The sequence below is a fragment of the Homo sapiens genome, chromosome 12 (genome assembly GCF_000001405.40).
Source record: "Homo sapiens chromosome 12, GRCh38.p14 Primary Assembly".
Classification (NCBI taxonomy): domain Eukaryota; kingdom Metazoa; phylum Chordata; class Mammalia; order Primates; family Hominidae; genus Homo; species Homo sapiens.
Window position 1 is genome coordinate 81,340,733 of NC_000012.12, and position 19,308 is coordinate 81,360,040.

The 19,308-nt window shown below is 34.3% G+C and overlaps 1 protein-coding gene and 1 long non-coding RNA gene across 52 annotated transcripts in view; one reads left to right on the top strand and one right to left on the bottom strand.

The window, feature by feature from the left end:
* Window positions 1-19,308, bottom strand: part of PPFIA2 (PPFI scaffold protein A2) — a 501,376-nt gene that overhangs the window by 82,758 nt on the left and 399,310 nt on the right. For 50 of the 51 annotated variants that reach the window (XM_024449242.2, XM_017020107.3, XM_024449240.2 and 47 more), the window contains 5 exons: window positions 17,350-17,485; window positions 12,387-12,607; window positions 6,801-7,038; window positions 3,932-3,961; window positions 346-476 (listed from right to left, as the gene is read on the bottom strand). In XM_024449242.2, coding sequence (XP_024305010.1) covers window positions 346-476; window positions 3,932-3,961; window positions 6,801-7,038; window positions 12,387-12,607; window positions 17,350-17,485 — 756 coding nt within the window. The remainder of the gene's footprint in view (window positions 1-345; window positions 477-3,931; window positions 3,962-6,800; window positions 7,039-12,386; window positions 12,608-17,349; window positions 17,486-19,308) is intronic. The other variant, NM_001220480.3, reaches the window with a different exon arrangement.
* On the top strand, window positions 3,346-12,504 carry LOC105369872 (uncharacterized). Its single transcript, XR_945148.3, has 4 exons — window positions 3,346-3,493; window positions 9,558-9,622; window positions 11,299-11,438; window positions 12,425-12,504. It is a non-coding gene; the product is annotated as an uncharacterized LOC105369872 (long non-coding RNA).

The following is a 19,308-nucleotide window of genomic DNA, read 5'->3' on the forward strand; positions in this document are numbered from 1 at the left end:
ATGATCTTGTCCTACAGTCTCCTTAGTTTTTTGTTAATATTTCTAGTAAGTCCTTCCTCTAGCCTGATCTCATTGTAATAGAAAATATCCACTAAAAAATAGAAGAGTTATTCTTATCTATATTGACCAATAATAAGACCACAAAGATACAGTTAACTTTAAAAATACAAATTTGATATCAAAATTGAAATTTGGTTATTTCACAAGTGATACTGGGAAAGGGAAGCTGGAGAATTCTGGCTCAAATAATGTAAATTGTTAAGCAGTCTATTCGACAACAACGAAGGAAGAGGAATATTTTTGGAAGGAGGGCATTCAGTGTGCAGTGTGCCTGCAGAGTCTTACCTTCGAGCATCATTGTGGTAGGAAGAAGGGAGAGTGTGAGTCATTCTGAGGGCTCTAGGGGTAGGAGGAGGAGAAGTTTCACATTTAATTGTTGCTTTGTCCTCTCGACCATCTTCTTCCACAACTGCAATCTAGAAGCAAAAACAATACATTCAAATAAACCCTTTCTAAATTTCAGTTGAAATTGACACAAATGGAGAATCATGAGAACAAGGCTGTCGAGTAATTTTAATACAAAATAAAACAACAAAACTTGGGGCATTTAAGTCTTACATACATAAATTCCCATTAAAGAGTTTGATTTTCACAAATATTTAAATTGGACACATTAAAATTAAAAAAAAATCATAGACCCACTACACAAAAATGTTTGATTAATAAACACCATAGATCAAGCTTTTCCAACCCACAGCCTGCTGGAAACATATAGCCCAAGACGGCTTTGAATGCAGCCCAACACGAATTCGTAAACTGTCTTAAAACGATTTATGCACGGACCTTTTTTTTAAAGTTCATTAGCTATCATTAGTGTTAGAGTAGTTTATGTGTGGCCCAAGACAATTCTTCTTCTAATGTAGCCCAGGGAAGCCAAAAGATTAGACACTGCTGCCATAAATCAACTAGTTGCTGACTATTGATCTATAGTGTTTATTGACATTGATCTATGATATTTTATAACATCAGAATATAAACTCTTTACAAAAAGGTATTAAACACACATTTGAACAATTCACTAACATATAGCATTATACATACTCAGGCTATCATAATAAAGACATCTTTTAAGTAGGGATTTTTGAAATGAGAAGTTGATAAAATATAACTTTATCAGATAAAGTGTTTTAAATCAGTCAGCCTAATGAAATTTATTACAGGGTATTTAAAATATGAGTTGTGGTTTGTAAGAAAAAAATCTCTTTTTAAAGAGAATAATAAAAGGTAAGATAGTAATGTTTTCAAATTGTTCCATTTTACTACCATGATGGGAAAACTGGCAAAGACATACAGAAAACCAAAAGAAGATGAGATGGGAGGGATTTCCTTAAAGAACACTTTAGTACAGAATCCAGAATGACTCAGGATACTATCCATTTTGTCAGAGATGAAGATATAGAGCTGTAACTTAAAATTTTTTCCAATGTCAAGTTAATTGTAGAGACATAGTTTTTACAACAATGCTGCATATTTTTCATGGCATCGTTGTGTATCACAATATGGAGAGATCAGGATTGTAGAAAACACAGCTAAAGACTTATGGCTTTAGAGTTCTGATGAAAAAAGTTCTTAGTATGGCTAAACAAAAATTTTTAAAGTTCTAGGGAAATATTTTGTTTGTTTTTATGTAAAGCTGTTATTTATAAATGTGTTTATCTATAATAAAGACCTTGTAACTTTGAGGAACTTCATGAAATTGTCAGGACTTTTGTCACCCAATCTTAGGTTCCTTTTAACAGCTTAGGTAGGTAGGCATTTTTATATAATTCCTTTGCTCTATTCAACTAGCATATTGCCATCAGGAGAATCTTTTTTCAATAACTGCTTTCGGATTGATTCTGATGCTGTGGAAAACCTTTTTAAACCCACAACCCAGCTAAACTCTTAAGCGTGTTTCTGAACTATTCCTAATACATGTTAGTGTTTTCACAGTTCTGTGATCCCACCATGACTCTTCTCTGATTGTTTCTGCTAAGCATGGCCATTTTTGCTGTCAGAATTTTGCTTCTGAAACATCTTATAAAATACCCTCTTTGTCCTCCCTGCCAGCCAAACTATACTTATTCCCAATAACAGCTTCTAAAAACAGCATGGCACATGTATACATATGTAACTAACCGGCACATTGTGCACATGTACCCTAAAACTTAAAGTATAATAATAATAATAATAATAATAATAATAATAAATCATGTACAAAACTTTCCTCTGAATATCACTTAGAGTTTTGGAATTAGAGAGGGATTTGAATTCTGATTTTTCTTAAATGTTGAATAAATAGGCTGATTACTTACCTGCTCTAATATTACATTTCCTCATCAATAAAATGGAAGTGATACAACACTTTTCTTAATGTAGTCTTTTGAAGTGTAAATACCATCATTTATTTAACTCGTTCCCCGATACACAAGATTTTTTTGGTTGTGGTCCCTCTTTCCATGACTTTTCTCACAAATTATGTTGTTACTTCCTGAATTATTTGAGACTACATTTTCGTATAGAACCTTCCATCCTACCTTTCTATTTCTTACAGCCATTAAACTTATATAGTCTTTTTAAGGTGATGGAGGTCAAAGAAAATAAGGACATTATACTTGGTAAATTTGGTAAATAAGAATGAACTGGTAGTGTTAAGGAGAAGAGGCTATAGGTAGATAGATAATAGCCCAGGAAAATAAAATGGTAATTCCATCTATTCAAGCCATGTAAGAATAATATAGATTCCTTTATTTTTTTTAAAAAAAGGACATAAAAGTTATCTGGTTCCAGGAGTGTTCCAATGTTTGGGTGTAAGCTGACTACCACATCTCGAAGATGCTGAGGAATAGATTTTTGCACTGAATAGAAGTTTGAATCTTTGAAATCTTTTTCATCTGATGTCCCATGAGTGAAAGCTCTACTCAATTATCTAATAAGATGTCATTTTGTGAATCAGAACTTCAGTTCATTTTGTTTTCCATATTCCATATTTATTCTCTTGATTTCATTCCAAACAGAAAAGCGGTGTTTCGAACATATTTTTTTATTTTGCATAGTCTTGATGCTCTGGCATCTGGAGAGGATGCTCCTCTAACCCTAGGGATAGTTAATTCCTGGAAATAGCACATCACTCACCTATAAGTACACCTTTCACATGCAAACCAAACAACTCACAGCCCATACTCTAAATCATCTTCTCCATCTGGCTCTTACTCTCCAAGAGGCAATATTCCTCTGCCCTAATCACCTGTGGGCCAGGCTGAGACAACTAGAGAGAGTCCCTACATCCTGAGGCCAGACAAAATTAATCAGGCTATCCATCCTAACCTGCTTATCCTGCCTTGTCTTGCCTTTCCCTAAGATACCTCAGAAAACCTTCTGCCCTGCTCCTTCTGCCTCCTGACTGACGCTGGTGCTGTCCTGAGGCACAGAGTACTCTCTCCTCTTGGGAACTGTGAGTAACAAGCTATCTTTTTTTGACAGCTTTCTCCCAATCTGTTGTCCTCACCCTATCAAAATAATAATAATAAAATATTTGAAAACAACGAGCATTATTTATTATATATTAAATATTAAAACATTTGTACTATATTATATTAATAAATATAAATACTTATATTAAAATATAAAATTACACCATCCTTGGTTTAAATATTCAATGGAAAACAGGATATTATGGTTCTTATAATCTAATTATTGCTCCAGAAATCATAAACAATTTTATCTTTGAAGTATTTTCTATTATAATCAAATTTAAACAATTCAATACACTTTAAATACTCTCAACTTTTTAATGTTTTATCAACATTCGACTAGAGGGAATATTATTTTAAAGCTTTCATAGAATAAAACAGTATTCAATTCGTAATGATGTAAAAGTTATTTACTGTACCTTTCTCCGATGTTTCCTCAGATCACTTGGCTGTGATTGGCAGTAATAAAAACATAAAACACAATTAATTAAGAATTAACAATCATTTGACCAAGTTACAATTTTAAATAGTGTCTACAACTTGACTATCATTTTTTTCTTCATTTTGTTATTTTCTAAATAAACATATTTTAATTACTATAAAAGCACTCCGCCTGGTAGTTAAATTTAGAGAGGGAACTTCTCAGGTAACATAAGTCAGATGATTGTTTCCATAATGGGGCCATGTGTACAGGCACTGGATACGAGGCATGGACCCTGGGAAAGAGAAACTGTGGAATGAGTGAGTGAGTCTAGCTAGAAGAGTGAGCTAGCTAGAAATAAACGAGACTGCATCTTTTCAAGAAAATATTATTGGGAGTGAAGATCCAATGCATATACAAGGAGTTTATAAATTCTTGTTTTTGCCCCATCTATGCAGAGCTTTGGGCCTCCTTTGGGCAGATGTGCTGTTCCTGTGGGATCTCAAAATTTTTGGCATCCTAAAATCTTTCTCTTTCCCACAAATGCCAAAAGCATTTTCTTCAGGTTAAAAAAAATTACCCATATTTTATTAAAAATATACAATTGATGACAGAATTATATTAGGTGTTAAGGACTTCCTGGATTTCATTTCTTGCTTCTCTGACTTAGATATTAAACACTTTAAATATTTCTTTACTCTTCTAAAAATGCCTTTTTTTTCAGTACTCTAATTATAATGTAATAATATTCATATTCCACTGATTTATTTATTACTAATTGTTCAAGAGAATTCATGAAAGCACTGGCATCTTTCTCTCTCTCTCTGTCTCTCACACACACACACAATCACATCTAAAGGATTATAAATATTTTATTGCTATGAAAGTAATAGCACTATCAAGAGTTATGATGCTTATGTTTATAAAAAGACTTAAAAGTGTAAAACTGTGTTGTAAAAATGTCAGAAATAAAAGCAATACAAAAATAATCAAAGTATTCCTGCCTTGAATGCTGACTAAATTTTATTCTGTGGTCCAGGATTCTTACTATAGGTTTGGTACTAAGTTGCTCATTAATACTATGTAGCATATCTTATATAGGCAGAAACTAAGCAAGAGACAATAACACTTTTAACTAACAAAATCAGATGAATGGTTCCTAAATTTCTAAAATAAGCAGATCACAATGTAGTTCCGTATGTTTGGTTAGTATATCTCAGCACATTGGCTAAAAGTTTGTACTGTATCCAAGTGGAATCAGTTCTGATTAGCTGGGCATTTTTTCTGGTTGGCCATTGTCTATTCTATTTAAAAAACATTTTTAGTAGGAAGTTTTGGAAATGAGCAGAAAATAGTGGACTCAGCAGCTTAAAGAGGTAACTGTCTTCTTTTTAAAAAAAATTCACAATTTTTCTTTTACATAAGTTTTATGGCTTGGAAGCCTCAAAATTGTAAGTATGCCAATGCATATTCACTACAAAAACATAATTTTACCTCCATAAACAGTTCAGAATGTTTTAATCTTCATCATTGGTGTCATTTCAACATACTATATTTCTAGGTAATGACTGAAACAGAAAGACATGGTAGTACATGCTTTTAAATTAGGCAAATTTGTGGAAAAATCCAGCTCCATTTATTAGCTGTGTTGAATATGGGCACTCCATTTATACTCTCAAAACCTCCACTCTCTGTTGAGATAATGCCCTACTACCTCCAGTTTTGCCACGAGAATTAAATGACTAACATCATGGTATTCAGCAGTCATCACAATCATATTTTCCAGAGGTTTTATTATATATAAATATATATAATGAAATATATTTTATAATGAAATACATATATTACATATTAATATATTTTTATAATAAAATTTTTTAGAATGGGGAAATTTGACTTTTTCTCAGTTGCATTCAGGAGACTTCCTAATTTAGGCTTCCATCTTCTAATCCCAAATATAAAGATAAATGAAATAAGGAATTAATGTATACATGTGAAAATGTGAATATAAAATCTAAAACAAAATTAGGAATTAGTAGCTGTTGTTTTTTATGGCTCTTAACACAAATAATGCAAGAAATTTATGTTATATATTGAAAAGTTATAAAACTCTATCTTGGTGTATTGAAGCAATTATAATACTAAGTTTTGTTACTTATTATGTTAAAAACACACACACACAGAGTCCAAAGTGATTTCCTCCGTATGCCATCAATAAAAATGTACTTAATGGTTTAAGTCATTCAATTTTTAAAAAAAAATTATTTTATTTTATTTTTTTCAAGAAGGAATCTCACTCTGTTGCCCAGGCTGGAGTGCAGTGTTGCCATGATAGCTCACTGCAGTCTCAAATTCCTAGGCTCAAGGAATCCTGCTGCCTCAGTATCCTAAGTAGCAGTGACTACAGGTACAGACCACCACCACACCCAGCTAATTTTTTTCTTTTTCTCTTTTTCTTTTCTTTTTTTTTGAGATGCGGTCTTGCTATGTTTCTTAGGCTAGTCTTGAAATCCTTGCCTCTAGGTAATCCTCCTGCCTCAGCCTCCAAAAGCGCTAGGATTATAGCTGTGAGCCACTATGCCCAGAAATTCATTGACATTTATAATGTGCTATTTAGATCTCTGCTCTACCATTGACTTACTATTTGACCCTTAGAAAGTTACAGCACCTGTGTGGGTTACCATTTCTTCATCTCATAATGGGATTCATAAATGTACTGATCACATAGGGATGTTGTGAATAAGAAAATAAATAAACAATAAAATACACAGAAAGTACTTAGACTAGAACAAACACCCAGTTAAGTTTTAGCTAAAGCATCATTAATCTTAACAGGAGGCAAAGGTTCTCTGGACACATCACCATACCAGTGTCATGACTCCCATCCGATCCATTTCCCTGGCAGGGCTTCGAGGGGTGAGCTTTGGAGTTGAGTGTCCACTGGGGGGAGATGAACTGGCCAGCGATGAAGCTGTAACAGAGGCAGTAATGGAGGTACCTGGGTGGACCCTTGCCAAATTCAGGCCTTCGAGGCTCACACTAGCCACTCTATTTTCAATTTCTTCAGCACGCAACTCTGTAGATTCTTTTTCTTCCTGAATTAGCCTGAAAGATACAGTTTAATTATGATCCATATATAATTTAATATGGATCCATTATATGCTGCTGTAAGGATCATTGGAATTCACATAATAAATCAGTAGAAACTATTCTTGAACATTTTACATCAAATCTAATTTTTTCATCTTTTTTTTTTCTCTAAATAGTGTAACTTGCAGTAAATTCCAGGGACTTCCTGGCTGCAGTTTAGAAAATTGTTTTCAAATGATACATTTTTTCCTGACAACTTCCAGTTTTACCTTCTTTGTATACTACCACCTGCTAAAACTATTTAAAAATCTTGAACCTAATTAATTTCTACCATTAATCCTAATCTTACATTTGACCTCAGGAACCACTAAAAGAGACTTTAGAAACTCAGCCTTGAGATGGCAAAGGACTAGCAATAGCTTAGAAAAAGTGAAAGATTATAATTACATGTAAATATCCCTCTTAAGATTCAAAGTCATTGAATCTTACCTCCTACCTAATGAAAAAGTTTAAATGATAGTATCCTCAGTAAATGGTCATTCATAATTAGCCAAATAAAACCCTGAGTCTTTTCTTAATATTAATACTTAGCCAAGCCTCCTTTAAATAAGTACCAGAAAAGGTAATAATGTGAAAATATAGTTATATAGATAGATGATGAATACATAAATAATGAAAAAGTAACTTGCAAATAAAACTAGGCCAGGAGTGGTGGCTCACGCCTGTAATCCCAGCACTTTGGGAGGCCGAGATGGGTGGATCATGAGGTCAGGAGTTCGAGACCAGCCTGGCCAATATGGTGAAACCCCGTCTCTACTAAAAATACAAAAATCAGCCAGGCATGGTGGTGCATGCCTGTAATCCCAGCTACTCGGGAGGCTGAAGCAGGAGAATCGCTTGAACCCGGGAGGCAGAGTTTGCAGTGAGCCGAGATAGCGCCACTGCACTCCAGCCTGGGTGGCAGAGTGAGAAAAAAAATTATATAAATTATTTATTACAAAGGCACAAATAGGAAAGAGCTTTAGCTAGGTTGTGTAAAAATCCTATTTGAATCCTGAATTAAATCTATACACATTTTGTATGTTGTTATAATGAAACTGTGTACCAGTATAGTTTGATAAGGGGGTCGTAAAATTCTCCTGAGCTATTTTGTTCTTGATTACAAATGGTTTATTGGGATCCCCTCTTATATAGAACCTGTACCTTCAAGTTTATGATCACTTCAAAGTTTTCTTTTTACATATTTAGAATGGAGAATGTAATTTATTTGCTAAATTTATTCGCTAAATTTATTCAATAGGAAATACTTCTCTGGTGTACGTTTACTATGGGAAGTTGAGCTACATTTACTCACCTGTTTTTATATGTTCACCAGCTCTTTGATTATTAACTCACTGCTGGTGTCTTCACTAACTATTCTGCAAATCTTTCAGTTTTTAAGTAGTATGTGTTTGCTGGCCAGGCAGAAAGTACTTTGGTAGTCTACTTACATGTCATTGGAATAAGTGATCTTTGTGATTTTAATAGGCTGTTTAAAAATCTTACAAAGTATGGACTTAAAATCTAATCAAATATGTTTCACAAAGGTTCATTTTGGTTAAAACATTATGAGGCACATTTACACTTAATTATAATCTTTCACTTAGAAAAAGAACATGAATTCTGTTACTCTCAAAGTTTATTTTCATGAATGCATTTTTTAACTTCACCCCAAGGTCAGAACTCCAAAGAAAGGTTTAATCAAGTAACATAGTACATAGTAACATAGCTTAACACACATTTGAAAGAAAAAACTATCTTCACCCTCAAAAAATAAAAATGTAAAAAAAAGAAGACATTTTGTACTTTTAAAATACTTAGTAGAAAAATGACTCCTAGAAATTTTTTTCTGGTGAGATGTAACATGGTTATGCTGTACACAGAAATTTTGGTTATTAACTTTAGGTATTCTATAAATTGTACAAGACAGCCAAACCTAGAGGAACAAGTTGGGTAAGAGAGTATATTGAAGTTTAATTTAACAGACAATAGTAGCTAACTATAAAAGCACAGATGAATGAACATTGCTGTGGCAAATGAGTTTGAAGTAATTTGAATCAGCGAGCTGTGAAGACAGAAAACATGCATTTTTTAATGGCTAGATTAGTTTATGAAAGAAGAAAAATCTTAATCACAGAAAAATTCTGGTTGTTATTAGCAGTTCACCTGGTTTGAATCAAGATGACTATTTCTTTTAAATGTGATATAATCTCATTTCATGTATTTTTAAAATCTTACAAATAAACAACTATATTAACCTACTGGCCAAGATTGTTACTAGAAATTACTACCCTAATGTTACAAAGCTAAGAGTCACTGAAGAGAAATAGCTTGTTATGGAGGGTGTGTTGATCTCTTTGGTGCAAATAAATATCACAAGAATATAGACTTGATTTCAAACTTAATTTGGTAAATTCGACCATTAGCTGAACAGCCTCAGAAAGTGTTATTCCGTTATTCCGTTAATACTTGTTTTACATTATTTTTCTATTTAGAGTAATCAAATATTTATGAAGCACTCTCTAAATATCAAGCGAAGTGCTAAGACCTGCAAATAAAGGTGAGCAAAGCCAGATACATTTCTTGCTCCTGTATAAAAGTTACAATCTAGTGAAGGTAAAGAACTGAAGGACAGTACTACGTTCCTTGAAGAAGTGATGGAGGAGCTGTCCATGGTGAGTAAGGGTAACATGAGTGAAATGTTAGGGTAGAAGGGTGTGGAATGACAGGAATGTTCCAGAAGAAAGGGATGACACAACAAAAGAAAGAGCATGGAACATCAAGGAACTAGAAAGTAGGCAAGGTAAATGGTTAGAGAATGGTGAGACAGGTGAGGTATTGTAGACCATATTAAAAAGTGTGGTTGGTATCCTAAGAACAATTGAATGGTTAGAAAAAGGGGGATTACATAAACACATTTGTGTGTTTAAAAGTCTTCTCTGGCTGTAGTTAGGTTGGTATATGGAGAACTAGCATACTACAAAGAAACCAGATAGTAATGGTTATTGTCATAAGGTAAAAAACTATTCTAAAGTGCAGTAGGGTGATGATAGGTAATTTGAATAATAGTAGAAGGAAGCCAACTGATTTAGCTAGACCCAGAAAGAAAAAAGAAAGGCATTGTTCAAAAGACTTAAAACCTGTTCACCCATTGAAAAAACAAGTTAAGAATGGTTTGTTGATATTCAGAAGAACACAAATCTACCTGACACAATTGGGTTCATCACTGGGGTTAGTCAAGGAAATGACAGAAAAAGCTGATGTCATTGGAATTCAAGAAACCATATATTAAATTAAAATAAAAGTATCAGAGTGCCAACATTTCTCAATATTTGAAATGTTAATTTGTCCAATTTCAATTGTAATGAAAACCATCTATTATTAGGGTACTATATAGCAACAGTACATTTTTTTCATAACTAGTATGAAATAGTTCATATCACCATATGTTTTATTGCCTTTGAAATGAAAATATAATAAAGATATTTGTTAGGCTATAATATTAAATTATGTCTCACAGATATAGTAAGCCTTTTATATTTAAAGAATGCAAATGAATTTGGTCCCCATTTACTTAGAAAATGTTCGCACATATGTCCCCAAAATGCTAGGGGATTTTTAATGATCAGCCTGATTTGTTATAAACTTCAGCATTAATATGTGAAAAATGTATTTTCACTGATGTAAGAATATTAATCATAAAAAACTCTATAAGAATTGTGTCTCAGTTTAAGATATGGTAGCAGCCCAACTTCAAACGCAAGTTTTAGGCACCAGTGAACACAATTAAACAGCCACAAGCACTAAGATTAACAATCTGAGGCTGGGTGTGGTAGCTCACACTTGTAATTTCAGTATTTTGGGAGGCCAAGGCAGGAGGATCATTAGAGCCCAGGAGTTCAAGACCACCCTGGGCAAGGGAGACTATGTCTCTACAAAAAATTAAAAAAAAAAAAAAAAAAAAGACAGGCATGGTGGCACATGCCTATAGTCCCAGCTACTTGGAAGGCTGAGGTGGGAGAATTGCTTGAGACTGGGAGGTTGTGGGCTGCAGTGAGCCAGATCTGAGTTATGGCACACTAGCCTGGGTAGCAGTGTGAGACCCTATTTAAATAAAAAAAAATCTGAATTTTCATGCAATATGTTAATACAGAAATGTAATTTTTATTATTAAGAATAGTAGTAATATGTTTGGTTTATCCCATTTAAAGGCATTAACTTTTATTTTTTCTCAAGTGTTCCAGGCAGAGAAGAGGACTCTATCCTGCTTTCTGCATTTGCTTTGCTATGAACTGAATTTTATCTCCCACCTTCAATTCATAGGCCGAAGCTGTAAAGGCCAAAGTGACTGTATTTGAAAATAGGATCTGGAGGAGGTAATTGAGGTTACATGAGGTCTTCCATAAATCTTTCTTTAGTAAAGGCTCTCAGATCCCTTAAAAGTATTTAAAAATTGGAGTGAAATTAATTTGCTCTTCTGACAAGTTCAAGATCAAGGTTCCAGCAGGATTCTGTTTTTGGTAAAGGCTCTCTGTTCCTGGCTCCAGGAAAAGGGAAAGGTGGGTGGGCAGTGGGGGGCAGACAGAGAGAGAGAGAGAGAGAGAGGCTTAATTCTATAGAATTAATATATTAATGTTCTATCTCTCTCTCTCCCCCCACTGTCTTTCTGCCTCCCACTGCCTGCCTCACTTTCCCTTTCCCTGGAGCCAGGAAGAGAGCCTTTACCAAAAACTGAACCCTGCTGATACCTTCATCTTGGACCTTCCAGCCTCTAAAACTGTTAATGTTAATAAACTTCCAAGAAACACGCTGTCCCTGATATAAATGGCATAAAATTGACAAAAAGAATGGTAAATTAATTTCACTCCAATGTTGAAATATTTTAAGGAATCTGAATGCACATTAATTTGCATACTATTTGGTACCTTTATTGCAGTATGTAATGTATCTGAAGAATGTACGTGATTACCACACACACTTTCCCTTTAAGTAGTAAATTTTAATTTAAAAAGTGCTTTAAAATTCACTGGAGAAAGTTTTGCCTTTAACTTATTCTTCTGTACTGTCACTGATGTCATTAATCTTATATGTTTCATGTATGTTCCTTACAAAGGCTGTCCTAATATTATAAAGGAGATATACAATATCCTGGGAATCTTCTGAAAATACACATTCTGATTCAGTGTGTACGGGGTGAGGTCTGAGATTCTGCAGATCTATTAAGCTCCCAGTTAATGCTAATGCTTCTGATCTAGTAATTACATTTTTAGTACAGTATCAAGGTCTTCTAATTTCTTGAAATCATCAGTACTAATTGAAGTTACCTGATTTCTTTGTTGATGGCATCCAATTGTTCCTGAAGCATCATGGCTAGCGTCTGGGCATCGGAATGACCACTTGGAGAGAGAAGATCCATTGAGCTAAAAATTGTTTCTCTGTCATCATCATCAATATCAGACATTTCAGTGTCACTTTCAAAAGGGTGGCTGCTTAGTACTCCAATCTGTTGAGTTCTATTCCACTCGTGATCCCCAAGAGATTTCACCTGAATGGTGAATGAAAAAATGCAGAATATTTATCATATTGCTCATTTTCAAAGCATTAATCTCAAAGACAGCAACAACAACAGGCATGCTTTTACAACTGACCTTGCAAAAACTGAACCAATTATTAACATTTTAATTTATTTGCTTCCATAAAATAGTTCCTTGACATCTTAAGTAATGTGAGGGATTGTCAGTATAAATATCAAGATTTTAGTAGAAATAAAGATGATAAACTTCTATATGTTTTATAGTTCAATCATATTCCAAGGTAACAATTACTTTAAAGCATGTATTTGTAATACTTTTCCTTATTTCCAAATATAACAATCTATTTATTTGTACTCAAGCACTCACGACTTAAACTAATTAGTCTTCCTATATTTTCTTATTATAAGCTCAGACCACAAATATTATCACATAAGAAATTACACAGGAATTCTCTTCCCAACATTTATTTACATCGATTCTAACAAAATATTATTTAAAATATTGCAAAATGATGTACAGGTATACTCCACAGAGATTTCAGGGTTAGTTCCAGCCCACCCTGATAAAGTGAATATGACATTAGAGTCACACAAATTTATTGGTTTCCCAATGAATATGAAAGTTATGCCCATTCTCTACTGAAGTCTATTAAGTGTATAATTGCACTGTGTCTAAAAAATGAACATACCTTCATTAAAAATACTTTATAGCTAAAAAATGCTAATGATCATCTGAGCCTTCAGTGAGTTTTAATCTTTTTGCTGGTGGAAGGTCTTGCCTTGATGCTGATGGCTGCTGACTGATAAGGGTAATGGTTACTGAAGGTTGGGTGGCTGTGACAATTTTTAAACATAAGACAACAATGAAATTTGCCACATTGATTGACTCTTTCTTTCATGAAAGATTTCTCTGTAGCATGGAATGCAGTTTGATAGCATTTAACCCAGAGTAGAACTTCTTTCAAAATCGGAATCAATCCTCTCACACCCTGAAACTGTCTTATCAACTGTGTAATCTAATATTTTATATCCTTTGTTGTCATTTTAACAATGTTCACCAAGAGTAGTTACCATCTTCACTGGGAGTAGATTCCATCTCAAGAAACCACTTTCTGTTCATTCATAAAAAGTAAATCCTCATCTGTTCAAGTTTTATCATGAGATTGCAGCAATTTGGTTTCGTTTTCAGGCTCTACTTCTAATTCTAGTTCTCTTGTTATTTTCACCACATTTGCAGTTATTTCCTCCACAGAAGTATTGAGCCCTTCAAAGTCATCCATGAGGGTTAAAATCAATGTCTTCTTAACTCTTATTAAGGTTGATTTTTTTTTTTTGAGAGGGAGTCTTGCTCTGTTGCCCAGGCTGGAGGGCAGCGGCTTGATCTCGGCTCACTGCAACCTCTGCCACCCGAGCTCAAGCTATTCTCATGCCTCAGCCTTCAGAGTAGCTAGGAATGCAGAGGTGCACAACCACACCCAGCTAATTTTTGTACTTTTAGTAGAGATGAGATTTCACCATGTTGGCCAGGCTGGTCTCGAGCTCCTGACTTCAGGTGATCACCTGCCTCAGCCTCTCAAAGTGCTGGGATTACAGGTGTGAGCCATTGAACCTGATCAAGGTTGATGTTTTGACCTTCTCCCATGAGTCATAAATGTTCTTAATGGCGCCTAGAATGATGAATCGTTTCCAGAATGTTTTCAATTGGCTTTGCCCCAATCCATCAGAGGAGTCACTACCTATGGCAGTTATAGCCCTGTGAAATGTATTTCTTAAGTTATAATACTTGAAAGCCAAAATTACTGCTTTATCCACGGGCTACAGAATGAATGTTGTGTTAGCAGGCACGAAAAAAACAATCTCTTTGAGCATCTCTGTCAGAGCTCTTGGGTGGCCAGGTGCATTGTTAATAAGTAGTAATATTTTGAAAGGAGTATTTTTTTCTGAGCAGTAAGTCTCAAATCTGTGTTTAAAATATTCAGTAAACCATGCTGTAAACAAATGTGCTGTCATCTAGGCTTTGTTGTTGCATTCATAGAGCACAGGTAGAGTAGATTTAGCAGAATTCTTGAAGACCCTAGGATTTTCAGCATAGTGAATGAGCATTGGCTTCAGCTTACAGTCACTAGCTGCATTCATTCACCCCTGTCCTCTGAGTCTTTGAAGCCAGTCATTTACTTTTCTTCTCTATATATGAAAGTCCTAGCTGGCATCTTCTTCCAATGGAAGGTGGTTTCATCTACATTGAAAACCCATCGTTTAGTGTAGTCATCCTCATGAATTATCGTAGCTAGATCTTCTGAATAACTTTTAACAGCTTCTCCATCAGCCCTTGTTGCTTCACCTTGCACTTTTATGTTGTGAAGATGGCTTCCTTCCTTAAACTTTATGAACTGAACAACCCTCTGCTAGCTTCAAAGTTTTCTTCTGCAGCTTCCTCACCTCTCTCAGTCTTCATATAAATGAGGAGAGTTATGGTCTTGCTCTGGGTTATGCTTTGGTTTAAGGGAATGTTGTCCATGCTTTGATTGTTTATCACTAAATGATCAAATTTACGTAGACCACTAAAACGTTCTCCATAGCAGCAGTAAGGCTGTTTTGTTTTCTTACTTGCGTGTTGTTTCTTATTTTCCTTCAGGAACTTTTCCTTTGTAGTCACAACTTGGCTGTTTGATGCCAGAGGCCTAGCTTTTGGCTTAACTCAGCTTTTGACATGTCTTTCTCACTAACTTTAATTGTTGCTAGCTTTTGACTTAGTGAGAGATGTGCAACTCTTACTTTCACTTGAACACTTAAGGCTATTGTAGGGTTATTAATTGATCTACTTTCAATATTGTTGTGTCTTGGGGAATACAAAGGCCCAAAGAAAGGGAAAGCAGTGGGAAATGGCTGTTGGAGCAGAAGCACACACAACATATAGATTAACTTCACTATCTTATATTGGCATGGTTCATGGTGTACCCAAATGATTACAATAGTGACATCAAAGATCACTGTTCACAGATCACCATAACAGATATAATAATAATAATAAAAGTTTGAAATATTTCGAGAACTGGTAGGTGCAGTGGTTCACGCTTATAATCCCAGCACTTTGGGAGGCTGAGGTGGGCAGATCACTTGAGCACAGGAGTTTGAGATCAACCTGGGCAAGATGGTGAAATCCCATCACTACAAAAAATACAAAAATTAGCTGGGCATAGTGGTGCCCGCTTGTGGTCCCAGCTACTTGGGAGGCTGAGATGGGAGGATTGCTTGAGCTCAGGAATTCAAGGCTGCAATGAGCCATGATCGTGCCACTGCACTCCAGCCTGGGTGACAGAATAATACCCTGTCTCAAAAAAATAAAAAAAAAGAAATATTGTGAAAATTGCCAAAATATGAGACAGATATAGGAAATGAGCACATGCATTGAAAAACTAGCATCCATAGACTTGCTTGAGGCAAGGTTATCAGGAACCTTCAATTTGTAAAAAACTGACAAACAAACAAACATAATGCTTGTGAAATACAATAAAGCAAAGCACAGTAAAACAAGGTATACCTGTAATTTTTAAGCCCAAGGCATGCTAATTTACATGGTTATGTTTTTTAAATGGATACAAGAAATCTTCCATTTGAAGTAAGCAATTGACCAGTGTTTTTCAAGCTGTTATCTGAATGTATGAGGAGGCTGAGCATAAAAGACAGATCCTAGATCTCTTTTATTCTGCTTCTTAAAAAATTGGTTTTTATTTTTGTGATCATATAAAATGATTTCTATGGAAGACCACATGATACTTCCCTGAGCATTGAGTTAAGAATTGAGAACCAGAATTAGTATTTGTGTTACAATTTGTTTTGGTATCAAGTAGCACTAATTAATTTGTCACATAATAATGAGAAAAGAATTGAGATTAACTTAATTTAGTCTTCATTTGCTCATTTATTTATTCATGTATTCAACAGATATTGAATGCCTACTATGATGGATTAATTAATACATGGCATACTGGTGCCAGTTCAAACCCAAAAGTCATCAAGGGCCTGTGTACAAATATGGACAAATGGATTATATAGTATTTGGGGTGAATAAAAGTGGTTGAAAGAATAAACTATGCTTAGGCACCAAAGGACTATTTTACTTCTCTGTAAAATACAACTACATTATTCAACAAACAGCTTGCAAATTTTAAATTAAGTTACTGACTGAATGGAAGGCTAGCACTGCCCCTTATCATTAATAGTTCTTTATGAACACAAGGAATAGTCTATGTACATTTTCTTCAAAGTGTTTTTAAAATACCAATTTTAATTAAGTTAATTTGAATGAACAACATGAATGCCATTGCTCAAGTGCCCAAGAAAATCAAAAGACTACATGTTTGGCAATGTAGCATAATAGTTAATATTACACTACTAATAGTACTGGAAACTACACAAACATAGGCCCAAGTTTTGACTCCATTACTTTGCTACCTGTGCAATGTTGAACATTTAGCTTTTCTGAGCCTCAGTGTTTTTATGTCTGAACTTAGTATACAAGTAGTACCCACTTCATAATGTTATATGAATAAATACATGGGAAATGCTTATTCAACTTTGGGCCCATAGTAGGGGCTTTATGTTACTTATAGTTTTTTTAAAAATGTCATACTCTGTGTTTCAAATTAATAAAAATGCTAGCATTTTCTAATTATCTCAGTGTTAAAATTCTATCAAAAATGAAACTATGTATTTAAATAAAACTAGAGAAGAGTTGAAGTTAAAAGATTAACCTTTGGCTCATCTCTTCGCACACCCATGCGGCCTCTCCTTGGTCTTCTTATTACTTTAGTTGTTCTGTAATCAGACTGGCTGTCCACTAGGGATCCCACTGAGTACCGCAACTCAGCTGAGGTGTCTAGATGAGTTCTGGAAAAAAGGAAAAATATAAAATAATCCAATCTCAAAAATTAAACTTACCAGGAAATTACTATCTGCTGTTTTACTGGCAATAAAGCAGAAATCCTCAAGGAAATAAACCTCAAGAAAGATAACCGATAAATTGTCATGACTCTCTGAGGCCTCTTTAGAGACTTATGTCAGAAGCTGCAGTCTTAGGTCCATTCCTGAAAGTCAAGTGCACTTTCTTCTTTTAGAATATACAGTGCTTATAACCTTTCTGTTTATTATCATTTTCAAATGCAGTAGTAAAATGAATCATAATAAGACTGATAATCAAAATCCATTAGGTTAAATTCTGGCAATTTAGTTTGAGCTCTTTTGTGTATATCACAGTATGTGCTATTGATTACTGTATTTGTTTTAAATATTTCTTATACATCTAGCTAAAAATGTCTGAAATTTGAGGGTCCCAGAACTTTTCCAATCTTAAAATTTTTGGAGAAATTTATTCACATTGTCTATTTTTCACATTCTATTTTTCAATTTAGAGAATCAACAAAATGCTTAAATTTAGATGGACCCAAGGCTTATGGTCTTATTTTTATAAAAGAAAATAGGATATACTACCAAAAGGATTTTTTAAGTTTTTAATAAGACATTGTTTCAAAAGGATGAAGAAAAATCTTTTCATAAGCACATTTGATTCTTAAATCTGCTTAAAGATGAAAGAGTCGGAAAATTTTAGTTGGAAAGTATCATTACACTAGTTTTCAATAAACATGGTAATAAAGTACCCTATAATCAAAGTGCAGAAAAGGCTTCTCCAGGCATATTACTTATATGTAGATTTATAGCAAATTCATTTTATTGTTACAATAATGATGATAATAACAGTGACATAATGCTGTCCTATAAAATGAAATAACAGATCTATCATCAGTAGGAAATATACTTAAAGCTGTTAGTTCTATTGAATTTGAGGCTCCTGCTGATTGACTATACTCTCTTTTTCAGTTATTCTTGTGAACAAAGACAAGCACTTCCAAATATCTGGTAACATTAAAAAGGGGAGGTGAGGTTTGGGTGTTTGCAACAGCAGAAGACACTAACTTAAGAAAGTTCTTGTTTTGCCAAATGGGGCATTAGAACAAATGAACTAAAACATTTTCCATCAAATAGGTGACAGCTATTGTTTTTGTAGCAATGTATTTGAGACTTAATCAAGTAAACAGGTTTTATCATGGATAAGTTACATTTAAAAAAAAAAACAACTAGGCCATATTCATAAAGGACACAACTCTGTCTTTATCTCTTGGGCAGAGGCTCTAAGTTTCATGAAGAACAAAGATCAGATTTTAGTCACCTTCCTATGTCCAGGAAGGCGTTCCTAGCATATAATAAGCACTTCATAAATATCTGGCAAGATGATAAATAAAAGAAATGATTATAAGACAGGCTTAAACTGTCTTGTTGTGATCAGTCTGGGTTCCTTTTTCCTGTGGCTGCTTACCTTAATGTCCCTTTAGGCATCAGGGTGAAGTTTCTAACATTATAACTCATCATCCTAGGAGCATTGTTTTCTTGTTGATTTATTTCACAGCTCCAGATAATTTATTTTAAAAAAAAGCAAAACACAGATCTAATCATATCAATTTCCTGCTTAAAATTATTCAATGTCCTTAAAGGCCCTCTATAACTTGGGCCTTTGCCACTTTCCAGTTTCATTTTAAGGTACTCTCTGCCTAGCTTTTCATACAGCTGTACTGACCTTCTTTCAATTCCAGTAACTCACACTTTCTTTTCATTTCTTTGAACATGCTTTTGTTTTTGTTTGTTTGTTTGTGTTCTCC